The following is a 21,833-nucleotide window of genomic DNA, read 5'->3' on the forward strand; positions in this document are numbered from 1 at the left end:
TCGATCCTGACTGGTAAATAAACCCTCCTCTCTAAAGCCATACAAAGTAACTCCAGAAAAGAGGCATCAGTGGGGCAGTGCTTAAGAAATCTATTGCTGGTCTAAGCAAGTGCGGCAAGGTGCTGTATTAAGATCATACCTATGGCCAAAGGCACCAGTGGAAGGGACTCAGACTTAAGGATGCTGAGTGCCAGAGCCTTCTGAAAGGTGGTGTCTAACAGTCCTTGGGAACTTGGAGCTGGAGGAGAAGCCCACACCCTACCCAATACTTCAGCCAAGCAGACATGGCAGAAAATGCCTCATTTCAAGGGAATGGTGTAAGAATGAACATGCCAAAGGAGAAACATTAGGAGAAAGGATTGAGCTCCCACCACCCCCTTTCAAAACAAAAACCAGTGATCAAAGGACCAGCACTGGCCTCCAGAAGCCCCCAAATTGTCTACTAGGCAAAAAGGTGCTACTCCTAATTCGTGATCTCAGCTTACTACAGAAAAGGAACCTGGTCATACCTCTTACCTCTGAAGGTATTCAGCCTGAAGCATGAACAGGCCAGATTAAGAGTGTAGCTAGGCATTCCAGTGAGAGACCAGAATAAGGAATATCCAAAAAGCTCAGGTGGCAAGTGAAACTGGTAAATTTTGCAGAATGCCAACTAACCAAAACACAGAAAAAGAACACAAGCCAAAATATTGACATACATGAGGAAAAGTACCTAGAAATCATTCTAAAACTCAATAAAAGAGGACAATTACTTGCAAGAAAATAAAGAAACTATGGACTATTGAGAGAAAAAAAAAATAGAACTGAAACATGACCAAGAAGCAAAATTCCGCCCTCATCAAAATGTCCAAAGGTACTTTCCATGGTTGTCCCTTAGCCTGGGCTGTCATTTGATGAATCTTGAAATGTGTCTAGGAAAAAAGTGGGCAGTAGAGAAAGCAAATGCTCCCACTGCTCCCTTTTTACTTGGCAATACCAGCAATCAAATATTAACTTCACCATATTTTAAATTACTGCCCCTAAAGATCTTACCACCAGGTAAACGAGATAAGATACTGGCCCATCAAAAGATAATTAGCAATGTGTGGCATTAAATGATAAGTGTTATATACATAATATAGGCCACAAATACTAGGACTTTAAGAATAAGAAAAAATAAACACTACTTCTTGAGGTCAGGGGATTGATGGCCAGCCAAGGACCTGAGGGGTAATAATAAACAACAAATATTTAAAGGAAGAACCCCCAAATATATTACTTTCTGTGTTTTCATTTTCTGTAAAACGAAGATAGTGATAGCACTTAATATAATTGTATGGGTATTAAATGAGATCATGCATGTAAAATAATTAGCAGTCTTTGTCCTACAAACACTTAAAGAGTAAGTTTCATACTTTCATCAGGTTTCACATATCAATTAATTATTTAAAATAAAAATAAAATCACACAAACTCAAAAAATGTCACCTGTTACATGATCACATCTCTATTCCTCTGACCTTGGGAAGCCACCAGATATATTACAACTCACTACAGAAACAAGAAAAGGATGAATGATTCAGTGTGAACCCACTCCCAACCCTGGAAACCCCCAAATCAAAGCAGGATGAGTCAAGGACCCTATCTGAAAATAAGGAAGCTTTCAGCCATTTTCCAGGGACTTTCAGCAACTTCTCCTGACAACAGTAAAAATGTAAGATAAGACCTACCGAAGTCAAAGAGCAATCCTGGCAGGACTCCAGAACTTGGTTCACCCCACCAGTATGATGGGAGTTTGAAAGAGACACTGTGAGTATGGGTCTTAGTCCTCCCATTTGTGAAACAGAGAAAAACAGTATCTATCTTCAGTCTTCTCGAAAAATTGACCAGCACGTACCCATGAGCACATCAAGATCTGTGGGCTACTTGGGATCTCCACAGAATGAGCATTCATATCCTGGGACTCACAAGGGTGTCTCCACAATGTGACCACACACATAACCCATTCTCTTCTCACCACCACCTCCACCAGATCCAGCCCAATAACTCTCAAGTTGAAACAAATGGGAATATCTGGGTGAAAAACATAGTTGTTCATAAAACTGTTTCCTCTTGCCTCCCCCTGGTCTGCTTCTGGAACTTAATATTTTCATTTACCTAGTCTTCCTGCTCACATTGGTTAATAATTAACATTTTTCAATCAAGTGATATGTTAATTATTTTACATGCATTATTACATTTAATACTCATAGCAATTCTATAAAGTGCCATCACTATCTTCATTTTACAGGAAACTAAGATGCAGAAAGTAACTTGCCCAATATCACCCAGCTGGAAAATGCAAAAGACGGTTTCCTTTTTTTTTTTTTTGACATGGAGTCTCGCTCTATCACCCAGGCTGCAGTGCAGTGGCGCGATCTTGGCTCACTGCAACCTCTGCCTCCCAAGTTCAAGTGATTCTCCTGCCTCAGCCTCCCCAGTAGCTGGGACTACAGGCCTGTGGCACACCACACCCAGCTAATTTTTTGTATTTTTAATACAGATAGGATTTAACCATGTTAGCCAGGATGGTCTCGATCTCCTGACCTCATGATCCACCTGCCTTGGCCTGCCCAAGTGCTGGGATTACAGGCGTGAGCCACCATGCCCGGCCACAAAAGATGGTTTCTAAACCCGGGTCCATCCAGAGCTCAAGCTCTTAGTCATTACACAGTTTTGGGTCGACTTTTTTTTTTTTTCTGAAGGAAGGGCAGCTATGAAAAACTTTTAGCTAAAATCATACTTAATCATGAAAGTCTGAATGTTTTTCTGCATGAATAGAAAAAGAATGTCTGCTCTTACCACTTCTATTCAACATTGCACTTTGGCAGTCCTAGCCAGTGTAATAAGGCAAGAAAAAGAAACAAATGAGAAACAGATTAGAAAGGAAAATATAAATGTCTTTTTTTCATTGACCACACAATTATGTACATAGAAAATCCCGATTAATATACAAAAAGAAAGTTAATAGAACAAATAAGTGAATGTATTCAGGTCACAACATACAAAGTCAATATATGAAACAAAACAAAACAATGATATTTCTACACACTACAATGAGTAACTGAAAAATGAAATTAAATGAATAATACCATTTATAATAACATGAATAGAATACCATAGCAAAAAAAACCACGAAACTTCCAGCTAAATTTAACGAAATATGTGCAAGACCCATTCACTGAACTACAAAATGTTACTGAGTTACTTTTAACCTAAGCCTTCAAATACTACTTACATAATTAAGAATAATTAATCAGTCTAGCATTCAAGACTGATTAAAATATCACCCTAGGCTGGACGCAGTGGCTCACACCTGTAATCCCAGGACTTTGGGAGGTCAAAGTGGGAAGATCACTTGAGCTCAGGAGTTCAAGACCAGCCTGAGCAACATGACGAAACCCTATCTCTGCAAAGAAAGGAAGACAATATCACCCTAATCTACCTCTCCAGGCTCCTCATTTTCATTCCCCTTTCATTTTGTTTTTTGTTTTTTATTATTCCATAAACATCCCCCCTCTGCTACTGAGAATGCTGCTCTTGCTGCATGAAATAATCAATTGATTCATCTCTATCCCCAAACTACTCTCACCTCAACTATCTCTGATTATTGGAAACCCTTCTCAAACTACTTCTCCAAGAAACTTTCTTTAATCTTCTAACCAGATATTATCTTTCTTTCCTTTTTGACTCTTCTCCTCCTCCCAAAAGCACTATGTTGGCATATTTTACAGTGTTTATCATATTCTAAGTTAAATTACTGTTATATGATTGTAAGCTCATCAATGATGGTGACTGTATCTGATGCAGCTCCTCTAAAGTAACTTGTTCTTTACACAGAATATATATTTAAATATTTGTTGAAGCAAACATTGAAAAGATTGAATTAAAAGAAAGTTATTTTTGTAATAAAACTTTTGGGATACCAAATTGCATCACTGTCACAATAGAATTCATGATGTCCTGACTTTTGCATGGGCTGGACCAGATGTTTAGCCATTTTGTGACCTTCCTCTCATTCAATTCTGAGGAATGTCAATTCAGCTTGGCTTCTGTTAGTTGGATCAATATCAAGATCAAGACCAAGTAAAACATCCCAGCATAAAGGACAAAGACAGATCCTCAGTCTTTATATAACAGATCAGGGAAAGAAGGTGTAAGGGAGCCAGTGTCCTCAGCACAGGGCAGGAAACTGTGAATGATAAACAGAACCACTGTGGATTCTGTTTCTGGGGAGAGAAAAAAAAAAGTAATCTGATCATCACATCTTGGAGGTCTGCGTTGCTTGCAGAATACAGAAACTTTCTACAGTACCTGTGCCTCTGCTGCTCTAGAAACATCTGCAAGGGTAAATGAAATGTTAACCACCAGTCCTGCCCCACACTCAGGAGGCTAGCAGCACAATCAGGTCCTGAACAGAGGCATAGAGCAGAGCTGACAGGCTCCGGAAGTGTCAGGCCTCTGTCCCAGAGAAGGTCCCTGGAGAGGCCATTTGGATCTTCCTGCATATACAAAGTGGGAAGGGAATGTTACTGTAGAATGGAGCTCATATGCCACACTCTCCCAACTAGCCAGAGAAGGAAGGCTCCTTAATTTAACTTCATTTCATAATTATCAAAAACATTATAGCTGATTAGCAGCAATTAATCACACTCCATAAGTGCAAATTTGTCTTTTGACCCCAGACTGGCAAAAGCTTCCTAGCTCTTTGCCTGGGTACAGAATGTCCTTTCATGTCATCCTAATACCTTTTAATCGTCCTCTATGTGTGCTTCAGTTCTTACAACCTGACATGGAGCTCTAGTTCAGCAAGATTCATCTGCGTGTATTACTGTTTTTAAAGAAGTCTACTTTAATTAAATATAAAAGTCATTGTTCAAACTTGTCATAATTTAGCACTTCTACCGATTAATTCATCTACTTTCCCTAGTTTCCTAAAGAGTTGCCTGTATCATCTCTTGAAATTCATAAACTGGACTTATTTCTATGTACAAATTCGAAAAAGTAAGTGGGAGGAGAGGGTTAATTTGCTAGCAACAAGTAAGACAGAAATCCCCACACCATATACACCCATCCATCCAAACACAAAATTTGGGGGAAATTTCTTTTACTTTTAGTGCAAATTATACTAACAGCACTTCAGATCTTGCAAAGAAAGATCTAAGAACAAGTTGTTGAAAACTGCACTGGGGAAACTTCAATGATACTGATATCACCATTCCTTTCACAAATTTTCAAAATTGCCAAATGCCACTAAGCAAACAGCGCTTAGAGGGTTAAGACTTCTGCTGCTTTGATATTTGCATATTTACTTTTTTCCTATGTATCCAAATGGCAATTCCCTGATCCTCTGAAATTTTAACACTATGTTCCAATCAGTTACTTTAAACGTACTTCAGAACAGTATTCAGGTAGCTAAATTCCCTGGGATTGTACCAGCTGTGCATGAATATGGTCAAAATCAAACTCTTCATTGACAACTGCGGTCTCTGTCTTCTGAATGAAAATCAAAGCAATCATGCACTGTGGAGTTTTCTCTTTTTGTCTGTGAAATCATGTGATCTCCCACATGGACTCTACTGTGAGATCACCAAGCGTGTGAAACAATAAGAATTGCTGTATGGGTTGAGATGCAGCCCTAAATCTCAGTGATAAACCTTTGGATCTCTCCTTTGAGCATCCCAGTTAAGACTTATACAATGTATTGTCAGGGAAAACTTAACGGCAAAGTATCTGAAAAATAAGTTGGTATTTTCATTCCTGAGTCCAGAATTATATTTGTGAGGTAAGGTATTGAGGAGAAAAGAGGATCCTTTAATAGATACTTGAGATAGAGGACTCAGAGATCACTGGAACTAGGTAGATAAGATCTTGGGCCAGGTTAAGAAAATATGTATTACCTGGGAAGAATTTACCACAAAATTGGCTTAATGGCAAAATTAACATTCTCCCTCTGTTGAAAGAAAATTTAAGACTACTTTGGGCCGGGCGCGGTGGCTCACGCCTGTAATCCAAGCACTTTGGGGGGCCAAGGCGGGTGGATCACGAGGTCAGGAGTTCGAGGCCAGCCAGGCCAAGATGGTGAAAACCCGTCTCTACTAAAAATACAAAAATTAATCGGGCGCGGTGGCGGGTGCCTGTAATCCCAGCTACTCAGGAGGCTGAGGCAGGAGAATTGCTTGAACCAGGGAGACGGAGGTTGCAGTGAGCTGAGAATGTGCCACTGCACTCTAGCCTGGGCGACAGAGCAAGACTCCATCTCAAAAAAAAAAAAAAAAAAAAGACTGCTTTGAAAAACATTGTGTTTTTAGAGAAACACACACTTCAAGAATAAATTATTCCTGAATATTTTACCACAGAGCCTTAAAGCGGGGTAGCTGAGAACAGGGATTAAGAAGGAAACTTTTCATCATATATTTTTATGTATTTTCTGAATTTTGAGCCATATAAATGTGCTACAGCTCCAAAAATATAAATATAATTTTATAAAGAAAAAACTAATTGATATTAGGAAATAAAATTAAAATGCCCTAGATAAAACAGGATAGTAAAGGGGAAGCACACTTGCTTTGATTAGGGGCCGAGAGGAAGTTAGTCACCTAGATTGTTAATATACCACCATCCCTAGCTCTCAAACTGTTTGTTAATTCAAACCGACGGTTGTTTTATTTTTGTTTAAATTTGGGGGTGGGCAAGTAGTAATCTACCTTCCAAAAGAAAAAAAAATAAGAGGGTCTTTTCCAGCAAGATCTTTATTCTCCAGTGCTCAAATCCCATTAACACTAATCAGCACAATGATTAAGCACATTGTGGTTAAGTACTCTAGTTGATAATGATTCTTTCGGAAGAAAGGTTCCCATAGCGACAGGTAAAGGCTATCATCAAACTCAGCTTTTCAGCACAGGACTTGATGTCACAGGTCAGAGAGTTAAGATTGTTTTAGTTTTAATCTGGAGGCTTTCTTTAACTTCACTTGACTTTATCCATTCAAATGACACTGATGGAGAGTCCTTCTATAAACCAGGCAAAGTACGAAACGCGGCAGGGCAGGAGAACTAGGAGAAAGAAGACCTCAAAGATAAGCTATTGTTCCTACCCCAAGAATGCAGTCTGCCGAGGAAAGCAGCCACTACAAGAAATAATGACATTAGGGTGGTAATTCAATCGTTAAATCTACAACCATGCCTTGTCCTCATCACTAGGACTGGTCAGTTTCTAATCTAGTTTCACTTTCCCATCTTCAAGCTGCAGCACAGCTGGGTTTCCAGCTGGCTGGGGAAGAAAAGATTCTTTAAATAAACAGCATTTAAAAAATATGTAGTCGCTTTTGCTATACTGAATTTTGTGAACCACCTTTCTCTAATATGTGAATCTGGGTGCCACATTAATTTAAAACTATCCTAAAGAATGTAAAAATCCTTAGGAATACACCTTTCCTTGTAGCAACAAAGTACACTATACACTGGAAAACTGCTAATCAGGAAATCCCAAAGAAAGAAATGATCTTCATTTTTTATGCTATTTACTGCATCTATTCAATAAGGAAACTGCTTAAAAACATGAATATAAGAAAACAACAAGATAGGGTGTAATTATACCAAAATATATGCAACCATCTTTTAAAATGCAGGACTATTTGCAGAACATGATGTTTTTATAACATTGTACAGAATTGCTAATCCCTGCAAGGCCTTTCTAACTCTTTTTCCTCGCCTTTCCACAGAAGGCACAGAAAACACCTCCCTCCATACAATGCAATCTTCTAAGAAATGCAAAGATTTTACTCAACTCTATCACCAGATGTACTCTTTCTGGATAAATGATACACATTAGATATGTAAAAATATCACTCTGGCAGGTCTTGCTCTTCCAGAAAGACCCCTGTCTACCTTTCCCCACCTTAGATCACAGACTTCAAGTCAACATTTCATGGTGGAAACGAGCCATTTATGAGGACTGATAAGAAGAGGTCCAGTGTGACCTCCTGCATTGATGCTCCTGAGGCCAATTTTTAAACACAATATTATCCCTCCATATTTTGCCCCCCTCCAAAAAAAAACCCACGGGCTTTCTAGGTGACTTCCCAGAGAACCACACCTCTCAGAACCTACACACACTCAGACCTGAAACTAGCTAAACAAAGCAACAATGCAACCTCAGTTGCTCAATGTAACGGCCATGACGACAGTTTCCAAGTGCCAGTTTCCCTATTTTGCAATGGGCAAATCTGCTCCAAGGAGAAAATGTTCCCAATGACCCTGTGGCCCAGAGGGCTTTCTTTAGAATAGAAAACAGAAAATGAATTTGTTAGTTATTTCCTGCTAAGCACAAGGACAGTGTTGTGGTTAGTTAGGATGATTTTGTTTCCTTATTTAATATAGCATTACCAGTACATGTTTTCTTTAACCACATAGTAGAAAACAAGAAAATGCAGTTTATGCTCTTCTGTTATATTATCACCAATTCCACAAGTCTCACAAATATGTCCTTTAATTTCTAATCCCCTTATATAAGGCTCCCCAAAATGGTACCTATTTATATACTTCCCTTTGAATATCAATTCAAAGCAATTTTTTTTTGCATTCTAAAATGTTTACTGCCATACACATTCCTGATCCTTGATAATTTGTGATATGTGAGGGCCCTTCCTTTACCAGTGATTGCAGTTCTAAATGTATCTTTTTAAGAACTATACTACACATGCTATTTTGATAATATGAGATGATCATAACCTAGAAACAGACCATATTTCTGCCCCTCAAATCTTTCATGATTTCTGCATTCAACTGTTAAGCTACTGAATACCCACTAGAACAAACAATGTGTAATTGATAAGGTGTATTGTGTTGGGGGAAGGAGAAAGTAGGAGGAGGGAGACAAGGGAGCAGAGAAGCCAGTTACTCTATGGGGTTATCTGACAAAGACCATCAAGTCCTCAGCGGCCCAGACTAGGGATTATGTGGAGATGTACACTGTGCAAATGCAGGAGCAACTCACCAACAACCAAACAGAAGCTGTCCTTGGACAAGATTCAATAAATATTTTTACTATCTATTTTCCACTGTACAATACTGTTTCACAGCTCCCCAAGGCATCTCAGAGTATTTTAATACTCCCCAAGTATCAAAATACTTAATAGAATAAAAAATTAGAAATTCTTAGCTGGTCTCTACTTGTCTTTATAAAACATTTCAGAACATAAAACCAATAATAAAAAGCAGTCAACAATATTCCTAAGGATAATGTCAGAGCGATAAACTGCTGTTATCCCCCAAAGTTTTCCCCTCCTTATTAAGACATTGCCAAGATTCTTCTCATTAAAGTGATCACAGTTTAACATAGTTAGTGTCTAGATATACTCCCATCACTAAACTCCTAAAATTTGCCTCCTGAAGGGGGTGGGGGAGGAAAGCTTCCAAAAATCATAGGTATCGATCTAGAAAGATGAAGGCAGCAAAACTTACTATAAGCTGTTACACATATTTTGCTACTCAAACAAAGCCTGTCTACACTACCCAGAATCAGTTGGTAAAACTGGTAAACATACCAACTTCTATGAGAGTACAGGACATCTATCATAATTCAGCGATTACACAGTCCAGCAAGTCATACCGCATGCCAACAAATTCAGCTTTAGTTGGGACAAAACGAAACCTCAATTTGAATAAGCACGAGACAGGCTTACACCAAATACTCCAGTGTGGGACAATTTGATTTGAAATATCTTACTAAGAAGTAAGTACTGGATTCAGGGACAAGAAGAAAAAGCTCTTAGACTGACATTTCTTTGACTTTTGACATGGGAGACTTCCATTCCCAGCTGCAGAGATCTACAGATTTCAGTGTTTTGTTTCTAATCACCTGCATTCCTGTGCAGCATCCAACATCATGAAGATGAGAGATGCAGTCAAATACATCCGGCGAGTAAGACGTTAGAGCTGAACTTAAAGCATTCAGCAGAAGTTACTCTCTTTCATCATCATCACAATCAACAGACCTTGTAATTCCCCCAGAAACAGCTAAAAAAAAAAAAAAAAAAAGGTGTCTGCTTGCTAGTCTTAAGAGAAGGATGTGCTACCTGCTTAGCAAAGACAGGCAATCACGATGAAGAAAAAAACTGGAGCCACATGGAGGACGGAAAACAGTAGCAGAAAAAGTCCAACTCTGCCTGCGCCAGCGGTGTGGATGAGCAGAGCAACGAGCCCAGGAGAGGAAGGAGGGGGCGGGGGCGACCATTCCCTAGGAGAACTTGTAAGCGGAGGCCTTCACAGCCTGGGAGTCTGCCCAGCTGCTCCCGCAGACCCTGCCAGCCTGGGCACGGCAGGCCCGCGGCAGCAGGGCAGGCAAGGCCTCCGAGGGTCACTCCTGACTCACTGAGCCTCAGGCCAGCACCGCCAGGACCTCTCCGTTTTTCCTTCCGCTACTGGGCTATGATGGCAGCTTTCCAGCCCCACATGCCATACATCAGCCGCAGATCCCCGCTGGCACAGGCCAGCGCCTCCCTCCGCCCCCCACCCCTGGCACACTTTGAGCCTGATCCTTCTTCTCTCCAACCCCAACCCCCTCACCCACCCGTGCCAGGCGCCCTGCCCAGGGGCGGCCCCACCCCCCCAGCGCCCGGACGCTGCCAGGCCCGGGCACCTGCAGCACCTCCCCGCCCCACCCCCATTCTCCACCACCTCGCCCCTCCCCCCTTTCTCCAGCAAAGGGAGGGGGCGACTCACCGCAGTCAGTGCACAGGATCTTGCCCACCTCTTTCTTGAGATTTTTGCCGTTGGTATCGAGGGGGGCAAAGGCCGTCTTAAAGACTAAGGGCTGTTCCGTGGGCTCCAGGAAAAAGATGTAGCGCTGGTTCCTTTCGAGCGGCACACAGGAGCCCACGCTGATCACCTGCTCGCGCTGCAGCCCCCCGCTCCGGAGCGGCCACTTGTCCAGCACCTTTACCAACGCCACCCGACCCGAGGCGGGCGGCTCTCGGGTGCTGTTGGAGCTGGAGCCGCCGGCTGGGACCAGCCCCTGTACCTTGCCCTCCACCACCACGGGTGCCTTGTACGCCTGGTCCTGCACTGACTTGAGGCTGGGCGAGTAGCAGGCGAGCGACACACCGAAGAGCAGCATGGAGAAGCCGGGGGCCGGGTCGCGCCTCATGCCGCCGGCGGCTGCGGCTCGCGAACGGGCGGCGGCTCTCCGGGCTGCGGGGCTGCGGGGCTGCGGCTGTTGCTGCGGCCGCGGCTCTGGGGGCGCAGCGGGACGAGAGATGCTGCTGTTGTTGCTGCTGCTCCTGCTGCTGCTGCCGCTCTCGCTGCTGCTGCTGCTGCTGCTGCTGCTCCTCTCGCTGCTGCTGCTGCTGCTGTCGCTGTAGCTGCTGCACCGACCCTTCTCCAGTGGCGGCGGCGGCAGCGCTGAGCAGCAAACCTGCCGCATCTGGCCAGGCCATTTGGGGGGCTCCGCCGCTCAGCCGCCGCCGCCTTGGGAGGGGAAACAGAGCCCGCTGGAAAACCGGAAACAGCGTAACGTTAGCGCCTCTTAGCCCTCCACCGGCAGCCCGGGGAGGTGGCCCAGCTAGGGCAGGGGGCAGGCGGCAAGCGGGCCGCGATGCGCAGCGCGGCGCAGCGCAGCGCTCCCACCCTGTGCGCCAGGACCTGGAGGAGGATGCGGAGGATGGGACGCCCGCCCACTTGCTCTCTCGCGCCCCCTCTGCCCCCGGACCGAGTAGGGAGCGCGGCTTCTGCAGGGGAAGCTTGGGACTGCACTGCTTTAGTGCCCGCCTTCAGCCCGCAGGGGCGCGGGAGGAATCGTGCCACCCTTTGCTCCCGGGATTTATCGGCATGACAGTGGGGGTGGTGCGTGAGGAGAAGGCGAAGAAGAGATAACGGGCTCCTGGCACCATCCTATGAACGTGGTAATGGGACGCAGGGCGTGCCCCCTGCCTTTGGCCAGCAGCTGTAGGAGCCAGAGAGGTTGCCATGGCCAGGGTGGCCGGCCAGCCTCTCGCCTCTTGGGCTGTCCTCTTTCCTAGGAGGACCCTGGAGCCCAGCCCCTAAATGATACCACGTGCTCGGTCCTGCCACCGCCTGGTGAACGCTGGATATTCGACTTGAGGTGGGGGAGAATCCCAGCCCCGTCATTTTGGAAAGAGTTGGGCCACAAGGTGTCTTGTCTTAGCATTGAGGACACCCAAGCAGAGGTGGTAGCTGAGAAAGGGCCCAGTCCCCAACACTCTGGGCTTTCTTCAGCGGCCACGTGGGGATCTGGCTGAGCACTGTACAACCTCATCTTTTAAAAATCTGATCTCTAAGAAAGGTGGGGGGCTTCTTGGGAGCCAACAGAGAGCCAGAGCCTGTCAGGGCCAGAGGCTGCTCCATAAAAAAGGTTTTTTTTGTTTTGTTTTGTTTTGTTTCCAAGGCTGATGCTTGCAAGAGGCAGAAGAGTTTGCTGCACTGGAGCCAGCATCTGATTTAAAACACACACACACACACACACACACACACACAGGTCCATAATCCATTAGCCTATCAATGAGGGTCCAGGGAGTTTTCAACACCCAGCTTTTAACCTTGAAGGATGTGGAGCTCAGGAATGCCAGTGAGCTCTTGGGGAATTTTATACCGCACTGGGCTCCACAGGAAACTGGTCCAAGGATGAGTGACTTAGGCTAGGACTGCTATTCTGGAAAGGAAGTAGAGAGAGCTACACCTTTCCTCCTAGCTAAGAGACATCTTAAACTCAATACATCCAAAGCCAACATCATTATTTCTTCCACTTCACTCCAAATCCCCTATAATTATTAATGCCACTGTTTTATTCTTTTAGACTACATCAATCCATTACAATAAGTCCCTTCATCTCATCTTTTATTCTTCCTCATCCAATTAATCACCAAGGCCTTTGGGTCTCTCTTTTAAAATAATCTCCAATTTATCTACTTCCACTCCAACTCTGCTGCAAATACCTTAAGTCCAAGCCCTCATCATCTCTCACCTGGACAACTTCTAAGCCTTCTAACTGGTCTCCACTCCTTTCACCTCATCACCTATCTCCAGTCCTACCAATGCCAGAGTGATCCTTCTAAAAATAAAATGTAAGTACAATTTGGCCATGCTACTGCTCTCAGAAGTTAAGTTCAAACTCCTCAGCAAGGCTCTTCATGGGCTCCCTTTGCCTAGCCAGCTTCATATCCTGAGAGCCAACCCCCCACTCTAGCAATCCTCAGCACTTCATGCTCTTTCTTGGTGTGCTTCTGCACATGATGTCTCTTGTGTCCAGAAAGCCTCACCTCCACCTTGACCACATGGAAAACTTATTTTCCCAAGGCCCAGCTCAGCATTATACCGCATCCCCCTTCCTACATATCCACCTCTACTCCCACCAACACATACATGATGGAATTAATCCCTTCCTCCTCTGTATTGCCATGAGCTTCACACATAGTATTACTGTTGGGATACTGGCCCATACCGTATTTCAAGCAGCCATTTAATGGGTCTGCATCTCCCATCAGGCCAGGCACGTTAATGTCAGGGACTATATATATCCTATTCATCTTTGGATTCCTATTACCTCCAACACAATGCCTGGCATAAAATAAGGATTAGCAAATCTCCAGTGAAAGAAGGAGAGAAGGAAGAAAATAACTGAAAATCGGCACGCTTAAAGGCATCAAGCCAATCTTCTTGGCTCCTTCAGTGTCCCCCATTTCATTTTCATAGATCACAGACCTCATAAATCACAAAACATCACCATAAGGAAGATAGCGACATCCACTCTTTCATTTTACAATGAAAGAAAAAGTCCCAGAGGGGATAGGGGACTTACTCAACATTTCACACAGCCAGGACTGAACTCAGTCTTCTGTTCCTGAGACCAGGGTCATAGTGAAGAGCTTGTGCTCTGGAGCCCAGCAGAGCTGGGTTTTAAAGCAACTCTGTGACTTACCAACTTTGGGATGAGTCTATTTCACTCTCTAGGCCTTAGTTTCCTTATCAGTATGAAGGAGAAAATAATAGGGTCTACTTCGTAAAGCTGTTTTTTGCTCAGTATGTACTTTCAATAAATATTCAATTGAATGGCTCCTCTGTGCCAAGCACTGAGGCACTGTATGTTACTGGATGTACTGTGGTGAACCAAACTGTTCAATAGTACATGTCTGTGCTCTCAAAGCTCATACTCTGACTGGGAAGACAACAGTAAATAAGTACACAAATGGGTAACTAATTACTTGTATTGCTGAGTGTCCTGAAGGAAATAAACAGGATGAAATGCTAGAGAATAATGGAAAGGGGAGAGGATAGGTCTACTTGGATAAGGGAAGGCTTCTCTGAGGAGATAACATTTAAGCTGAGACTAGAAGGATGATGAGGATGTGGATTATGTGAGATAATATGTAAAGTGCTTAGAACAATGTCTGGTGCACAGTAAGGGCCAAAATTAAAGTTGAAGATTACTAATATTTTACTTATACTGGTGGTTCCCAATCTAAGAGCTGAGAATCTCTAAGTGGTATTTATTTTCTGTATATTAAAAATATTCACTAGGATTTTCTGTATATTAAAAAATGCGGCTGGGTGCAGTGGCTCATGCCTGTAATCTTAGCACTTTGGTAGGCTGAGTGGGGTGGATCACTTGAGGTCAGGAGTTCAAGACTAACCTGGCCAACATGGTGAAACCCCATCTTTACTACTACCAAAAAAAAAATTAGCCAGGCGTGGTGGCGCTCCCCTATAATCCCAGCTACTTGGGAGGCTGACACAGGAGAAATGCTAGAACCCAGGAGGCAGAGGTTGCAGTGAGCCTCATGACACTACACTCCAGCCTGGGCAACAGAGCACTGTCTCAAAAAAAAAAAAAAAAAAAAGGCGATACAATTTTTCAACAGCACATGTCATGAAGAATAAAAATATTATTTTCCCCTCTCTCTCTTATTTTTTTTTTTTTGAGACAGAGTTTTGGTCTTGTTGCCCATGCTGGAGTGCAATGGTGTGATCTTGGCTCACTGCAACCTCCACCTCCCGGGTTCAAGTGATTATCCTGCCTCAGCCTCCCAAGTAGCTGGGATTACAGGTGCCTGCCACCACGCCTGGCTAATTTTTTGTATTTTTAGTAGAGACGGGGTTTCTCCATGTTGGTCAGGCTGGTCTTGAACTCCCGACCTCAGGTGATCTGCCTGCCTTGGCCTCCCAAAGTGCTGGGATTATAGGTGTGAGCCATTGAGCCCGGCCTCTTTTTTTTTTTTTTTTTTTTCTTTGAGACAGAGTCTCCGTCCCCTAGGCTGGAGTGCGGTGGTGTGATCTCAGCTCACTGCAACTTCTGCCTCCCAGGTTTAAGCAATTCTCCTGCCTCAGCCTCCCGAGTAGCTGGGACTACAGGCACGCACTACCACGCCTGGCTAATTTTTGTATTTTTAGTAGAGACTGGGTTTCGCCACGTTGGCCAGAGCAGCCTCGAACTCCTGACTTCAGGTGATCTGCCTGCCTCAGCCTCCCAAAGTGCCGGGATTACAGGCGTGAGCCACGACGCCCGGACTCTCTTTTTCTTTTGAGACACGATCTGGCTCTGTTGCCCAGGCTGGAGTGCAGTGGGGCCATCATGGCTCACTGCAGCCTCGACCTCCTGGGTTCAAGTGATCCTCCTAAGTAGCTGGGACTACGGGCACATGCCACCACACCCAGCTAGTTTTCTTTTCTTTTCTTTTCTTTTCTTTATTATTACTTTTTTTTTTTTTGGTAGAGATAGGGCCTTGCCCAGACTGGTCTCCAACTCCTGGGCTCAAGCAATCCTCCTGCCTTGGCCTCCCAAAGTGCTGGGATTACAGGTGTGAACCACCACACCTGCTCCCCACCTTTTTTTTTCAACATATCCATGTTAAAGTACAACAAAATATAACAAGATATTGCTAAGTGAAAAAAAGCAAGATGAAGAAGAGTGGTAAGATGCTACCATTTTGTCTTTTTTTAAGATGAAATATGTAAATGTTTGTAGTGCAAATTTACCTTTGAAAAGATACAGCAGAAGTTGAAACAATAGGAGGCTCTGGAGAAGGGCAGTGTGTGAATGAGGGATGGGGTGAAAGAAGGATATTTTCATGGTATTTCCTTTTGTACCTCGTGAATTTTATATCAAGTTCATGTACTAGCTATTCAAAAAAATTTTAAGAGGGGATCCTCTAATTTGTTAATGTTGCTGAATTTTTATCATGTGTTTTTCTCAAAGTCTACTTAAAGTAGAACTACTATTATATAGGATTCTATAAACAGAAAGAATATTCTATATAATGGGAACTACTATTATATGGGGTAAAACTCTTTTTACCTTAAAATGGGATTCTTATGCTAAAAAGCATAGGGAATTATTTTGCTATAATTATATCCTGTTCAGATAAACTTAGAATGCCGAGGTAAATTTTGAGACTCCAGCAGATTACCAGAATTCCTGCAGCCATAGAAAGTGGAGAGTTAGGCAGAGTTTTCTAAAGGGAAGAAAGGGCCAGGTGCAGTGGCTCATGCCTGTAATCCCAACTCTTAGGGAGACAGAGGTGGGAGGGTAGCTTGACCCCAGGAGTTCAAGACCTGCCTGGACAATATAGCGAGACCCCATTCTCCACAAAAAGGAAAAAAAAAAAAAGATAAAGGGGAGGAAGGTGCCTGTCCAGATTTCCTCAAGGTGTGATGTATGTGAGGATAAGCTTCCGAAATTGGCCTCAGCCATTTAGGGTATTTGGTTTCCTAGAAGGACAGCCCAATTTTATACTGGCTTTTTCCTGAAGTTCACAGTGAATTAGTATGTATGACTTAGAAAATAAGACCTAGTATTCCAAACCTGCTAACTCTGCACTGTAATTCAATAACTGACAATAAAAATAATAATAGGCATCATCTATTAATGGCTTGTTGTTGGAAGCTTTGTGTTTATTATTTCTGTGTCTTATCTACTTTGAATTTTTCAAATTGAAAATTCATAGTGGTTTAATAACTTGCCCAAATGACAGACACAGTTGAGACTGTAATCCAAGCTTGCTCATTGCCAAAGCACTTCCTCACGCACAGCACCGTCACAGCTCTCTGTAAGAGACAGTCTTCTCTTAGCATCACTTTCTTTCTTCCTTTTTTTTTTTTTAACAGAGTCTCACTTCTTCAGTCTCGGCTCACTGCAACCTCTGCTTCCCAGGTTCAAGCAATTCTGCCTCAGCCTCCCAAGTAGCTGGGACTACAGGGGCCCACCACCACTCCTAGCTAATTTTTGTATTTTTTGTAGAAACGGGGTTCCATCATGTTGGCCAGGCTGGTTTCGAACTCCCGACCTCAAGTGATCCACCCGCCTCGTCCTCCCAAAGTGCTGGAATTACAGGCGTGGGCCACCGCGCCCAGCCAGCATCACTTTCATTGTCATCTAAGAGGTCTCTAATTTCCTCAGACTACTTCCACATATACACTATTTGAAATTCATAACACCGAAGAGCACGTGGGATAAGCATTATTTTACAAAAACATGAGGAAAATCGACAGACGGAGAATTTAAGTGACTTTCCCAAGATCACAAAGCTATGGATATCTTTTTGCCAAGATTTATCACAAACTCAAGCTCACACTTTTGAATAGAACCACATAGAGAAATGGAAGCCAGACCTGTTCACTATACCGTGGCTTACCACAAGGTTGTGAAAAAAACTGGTTCATGGTAGCAGTGGGCTGTGTCACTATATAATAATCACTAAGAACAAAAACAGAAGTAGACAGAATGGTATAGACATTCTGAATTCAAGATAGAACACCCACATGAAAAGCTTGGCTTCTTTTCTCAGATCCCTCCCACACAGGATGGGCTTCTTCCAGCTTTAGCCAGGATAGCAGGCCAGAAAGAGCCACTGAACCAGGTTACATGGCTTACTGCAGCTAGGAGAACTGGCTAGTCAAGGAGATCTGTATGGCCTTTATCTGGTCACTGAGTCTCACAAATCAAGCCAAACACTTTGCAGGGCAGTCTCGCTTCCTAAATAAAGAAATTTTGAAAACTTATTTTTTCTCCTTTTGAGATCTGTTTTCTAAATTTGGCTTCCAGAGTCACTTTCAGGTTCTGTGGTTAATTTCTTTTCCTCCAAGGATTTTCAAACAAGGGACTAAACAGAAAACAGATATTGAGAGTCAGAATGTTAGCACTGGGAAAGGTTTTAGTATCAATGTAGCCTGATGTCCTTCTTTTACAGAGGAAGGCACAGAGACCATGGAGATTATTTGATTTGCTCAAGGTCACACAGCCTAGTTGGCGGCAGGAACAGCCCTCATTTCCTGACCCCTGGCCCAGTTCTCTTTTGTCTACTTTTCAAAAGCCTGACTCCACCTCTACTGGAACGTGAGCTTGGATAAGTTACTTCACTTTTTTGTTTGTTTGTTTGTTTGTTTTTTGAGACAGAGTCTCGCTCAGTCACCCAGGCTGGAGTGCAGTGGCGCGATCTCAGCTCAGTGCAACCTCTGCCTCCCAGGTACAACCGATTCTCCTGCCTCAGCCTCCTGAGTAGCTGGAATTACAGGCACGTGCCACCACGCCCGGCTAATTTTTGTGTTTTTAGTAGAGACAGGGTTTCACCATTTTGTTCGGGCTGGTCTTGAACTCCTGACCTCATGATCCCCCCACCTCAGCCTCCCAAAGTGCTGGGATTACAGGCGTGAGCCACCATGTCTGGCCACTTCACCTTTTTAAGTCTTTTCATTTCTGAGCCTTAACTACTTTGTATTTTACAAATGGAAAATGTATAGAGGTTTAATAACTTGTCCAAATGACAGACACAGCTGGGACTCTAATCCAAGCTTGTCCATTGCCAAAGCACGTCCTCATGCACAGCACCGTCACAGCTCTCTGGGTAAGAGGCAGTCTCTTAGTGTCACTTTCATTATCATCTAAGAGGTCTCTAATTTCTCTGATTTCCTTTATTGGGAGGGGCCCCCAATAAAATATCTACTTCTTAGAAGTTGTGTAAGGATTAAGTGAGATAATTCATGTGAAATGTTTCACACAGTACCTGGACACAGAGTAACTTGCTAAGAGTGAAGGCTCTGGAGTCAAACTACCTACGTCTGAATTCCAGCTCTGCCAGTTTGCTTGACTGACATTTTGGCCTAGCTACTTAAGTTCTCTGTCTCAGTTTCCTCAACTGTAAAATGAGTAAAATGATATATCTTCCTACATCATTAAAATTGTTATGAGTCTTAAATAAAATAATATATATAACCCACTTAGAATAATGTTCAGCACGTTAGCCATTATTAGTTTGACTGTAATAACCACTTTTCTTATTTTAAGCAGCCATACTTTGCCCAAAATTCATCCGTTTTAAAAGCATTCACTTTCATATGTTTTGAACACATGCTGAAATTCTTAAGATTGGAGCCTGATGTTCTGCTTTATTTAAAAAAAAAAGGCTTCTAATTGATAGTTCCAGTTCCCAATCAAGAGAGGCCAGGATTCAATAGTTTATAGCCTATGGCTGTGTTTGGAGTCGAGGGGCTTCCACTCCCCAATTTGCTGAAAAGGGCAGCAGCCCCTCTGTCTGAGTTGTTCCATCTGGGATAATAATAATTATTTCTTTGTAAAGTGCTTTGAGACCTTTGGATGAAGAGTGCTATGTGAACACAAATTATTATCTCTTTTCCAGATATCACTTTTAGATTAAAATCCAGAAGCTCCCTAAAATAGACCATAGCAGAAGTATAGTCTGGACACAGATATATCTGTCCAGTATTGTCACAACCAGATAATACATTCATGATCAACACCATCATTCATTTTCTTTTACGTGTCATAGCAGATCTAACTTGGATTGGGAAAAAATGAGATGTCCTCAAGATGGATGTTTTTGCTGTTTAACTTTCAAAGATTTCCCCCACTCTGTTTTCCTGATTTGTGTTTTTGGAATCCTCTCCTGAGGTCAACAGGAACTCCGAGGTTGATTCAACTCTGGGGGCGTGAAGCAGGACAAGAAAAAGGAATTATTTTCTTAGTCCCAAATCCTCATGCTAGTGTACCTTCGAGTGTTCAATTCATCTGTTTCTACTTTACAGTTTTTAGTTCATGTGCATTCTTTTTCATGTGGTTTCTAGACACTTCAATATCATCCGAGGTCAGTAATTTTAAGACTTTACTTTCCCTGAGTTTTTGTTATAATTCCTAAATGTATTTATTCATTCTACCAGAAACATTTATTGAAAAATCTGCTAGGCATAGCACTGCCCCAGATGCTAAAGAAATAATAGCCATGGTTCCTGCTAGAGCAAAATCTAGGCAAAATTGGAGTCAGGTGGGCTGTTATCTGTTGAGTGGGCACCCGTTCTTGATTCTTACACACACACACACACACACACACACACAAACACACACACACACACCTTCTCCTTTAATGTCATCCTTCCCCTTTGTATCTCAGAGGCTCAGTGCCCCACTGCTCTCTTGGCTTTCTCAATTCTAAGGGCAGAGACAGTGTGTTTTGCAAATGCTAGGCCCTCAATATTTGCTGATATGACAAACTCAGTCACACTAAAGGATTAACATCTGTTAAAGCATAATGCAAAACTCCTTATGCCTTCATTTCTAAGACATCCCATATTATTCATTTCAAAATGAACTTATTCATCCCAATAATATTTTTATTTCATTCTTTCTTTTAAAACATCCATTTGATTAATACTTATTTTAGAACTTATCATTCAAAAGTGTCTTTAGCGCCTACTCTGTTCCAAACTTTCTATCAGATGCTAAGAACGTAGAGGCAAATAAGACATATAAGGCCCCTGCCCTTGAACAGTTTACACTTGTAAAGGGAGACAGACACCAAAAGGAAAGAAAGAAACAAAAAAAAATTTCAGTGAGAGAAAGAAAAGATGGAGAAATAAAGAGCGAGGTGTATGAGTATGATTGGATTGAAAATGACCAGGACAGGACAGGTGCAGTGGCTCACACCTGTAATCCCAGCACTCTGGGAGGCCAATGTGGGCAGATCACCTAAGGTCAAGAGTTTGAGAACAGCCTGGCCAACATGGTAAAACCCCGTCTCTACCAAAAATACAAAAAAAGAAAAAAGCTGGGCGTGGTGGCTGGCACCTGTAGTCCCAGCTACTTGGAAGGCTGAGGCAGGAGAATTGCTTGAACCCAGGAGGCAGAGGTTGCAGTGAGCTGAGATGACGCCTCTGCACTCCAGCCTGGGTGACAGAGAGAGACTCCATGAAAAAAAAAAATGACCAGGACAGGACAGTGCTTACAGGCATGGTTTCTCTAAGAAGACAGAATGTGATCTGAGACATGAAGAATGAAGAGGAGTCAGCCACACAATACACTGGGAGAAGAGCATTTGAAGCAAAGGGAAGAATCCCACACAAAAGGCCTGAGGAAATAATAAGCTGGACACGATCAAAGTAGGGAAGGAAGGCCAGTGGGGTTAGAGATTGTTATAACAAGGAAGAAGAGTGGTATGGGATGAGGTCAGGGAGATAAGTAGTGATCAGACTCATGCTGGGCCTTGCAAACTAAAGTAAGTTTGGGTTATTTTCTAAGCACAATGGGAAGTCACTGGAGGGTTGAAGTAGACACCATGTGATTTATAATTAAAAGAGATCACTCTGAGGTATGGGGCAGAGACTGTCATGGTACAAGAGTGGAACCAGCGAGATCAGTTAGGAAGCTGGCAGTGTCCTGTCCTGGTCATTTTTTTTTTTTTTTTGCAGTAGACTAGGAGAGATGACAGTGGTTTCAACTTGTGTAGTAGCCATGGAGATAAAGAAAAATTGACAGAATTTAAGATATAATTTGAAGATGGAACCAACAAGACTTGCT

General features: G+C 43.0%; 1 protein-coding gene across 7 annotated transcripts in view, besides 5 other annotated features; it reads right to left on the reverse strand.

The window, feature by feature from the left end:
* Positions 1 to 11,671, reverse strand: part of NRG2 (neuregulin 2) — a 196,519-nt gene extending 184,848 nt beyond the window's left edge. For all 7 annotated transcript variants that reach the window (NM_001184935.2, NM_013981.4, NM_013983.3 and 4 more), the window contains exon 1: positions 10,742 to 11,671. In NM_001184935.2, the coding sequence (NP_001171864.1) occupies positions 10,742 to 11,441 (700 nt within the window). In that variant the 5' untranslated portion in view covers positions 11,442 to 11,671. The remainder of the gene's footprint in view (positions 1 to 10,741) is intronic.
* Positions 9,574 to 9,763: an enhancer, noted in NCBI's record as "active region_23258". NCBI's record gives its function as "activates an Ori minimal core promoter by ATAC-STARR-seq in GM12878 lymphoblastoid cells {active_cell/tissue: GM12878}" and the evidence as "EXISTENCE:reporter gene assay evidence [ECO:0000049][PMID:35858748]".
* Positions 11,104 to 11,313: a silencer, noted in NCBI's record as "silent region_16438". NCBI's record gives its function as "represses an Ori minimal core promoter by ATAC-STARR-seq in GM12878 lymphoblastoid cells {active_cell/tissue: GM12878}" and the evidence as "EXISTENCE:reporter gene assay evidence [ECO:0000049][PMID:35858748]".
* Positions 11,104 to 11,813: a biological region, named in NCBI's record as "H3K4me1 hESC enhancer GRCh37_chr5:139422349-139423018".
* Positions 11,136 to 11,805: an enhancer, noted in NCBI's record as "H3K4me1 hESC enhancer chr5:139422349-139423018 (GRCh37/hg19 assembly coordinates)". NCBI's record gives its function as "activates a minimal SCP1, AML or CMV promoter by ChIP-STARR-seq in naive and primed H9 embryonic stem cells {active_cell/tissue: H9 hESC(naive and primed)}" and the evidence as "EXISTENCE:reporter gene assay evidence [ECO:0000049][PMID:30033119]".
* Positions 11,474 to 11,813: a silencer, noted in NCBI's record as "silent region_16439". NCBI's record gives its function as "represses an Ori minimal core promoter by ATAC-STARR-seq in GM12878 lymphoblastoid cells {active_cell/tissue: GM12878}" and the evidence as "EXISTENCE:reporter gene assay evidence [ECO:0000049][PMID:35858748]".

This window comes from Homo sapiens, chromosome 5 (assembly GCF_000001405.40).
Source record: "Homo sapiens chromosome 5, GRCh38.p14 Primary Assembly".
NCBI classification, from domain to species: Eukaryota; Metazoa; Chordata; class Mammalia; order Primates; family Hominidae; genus Homo; species Homo sapiens.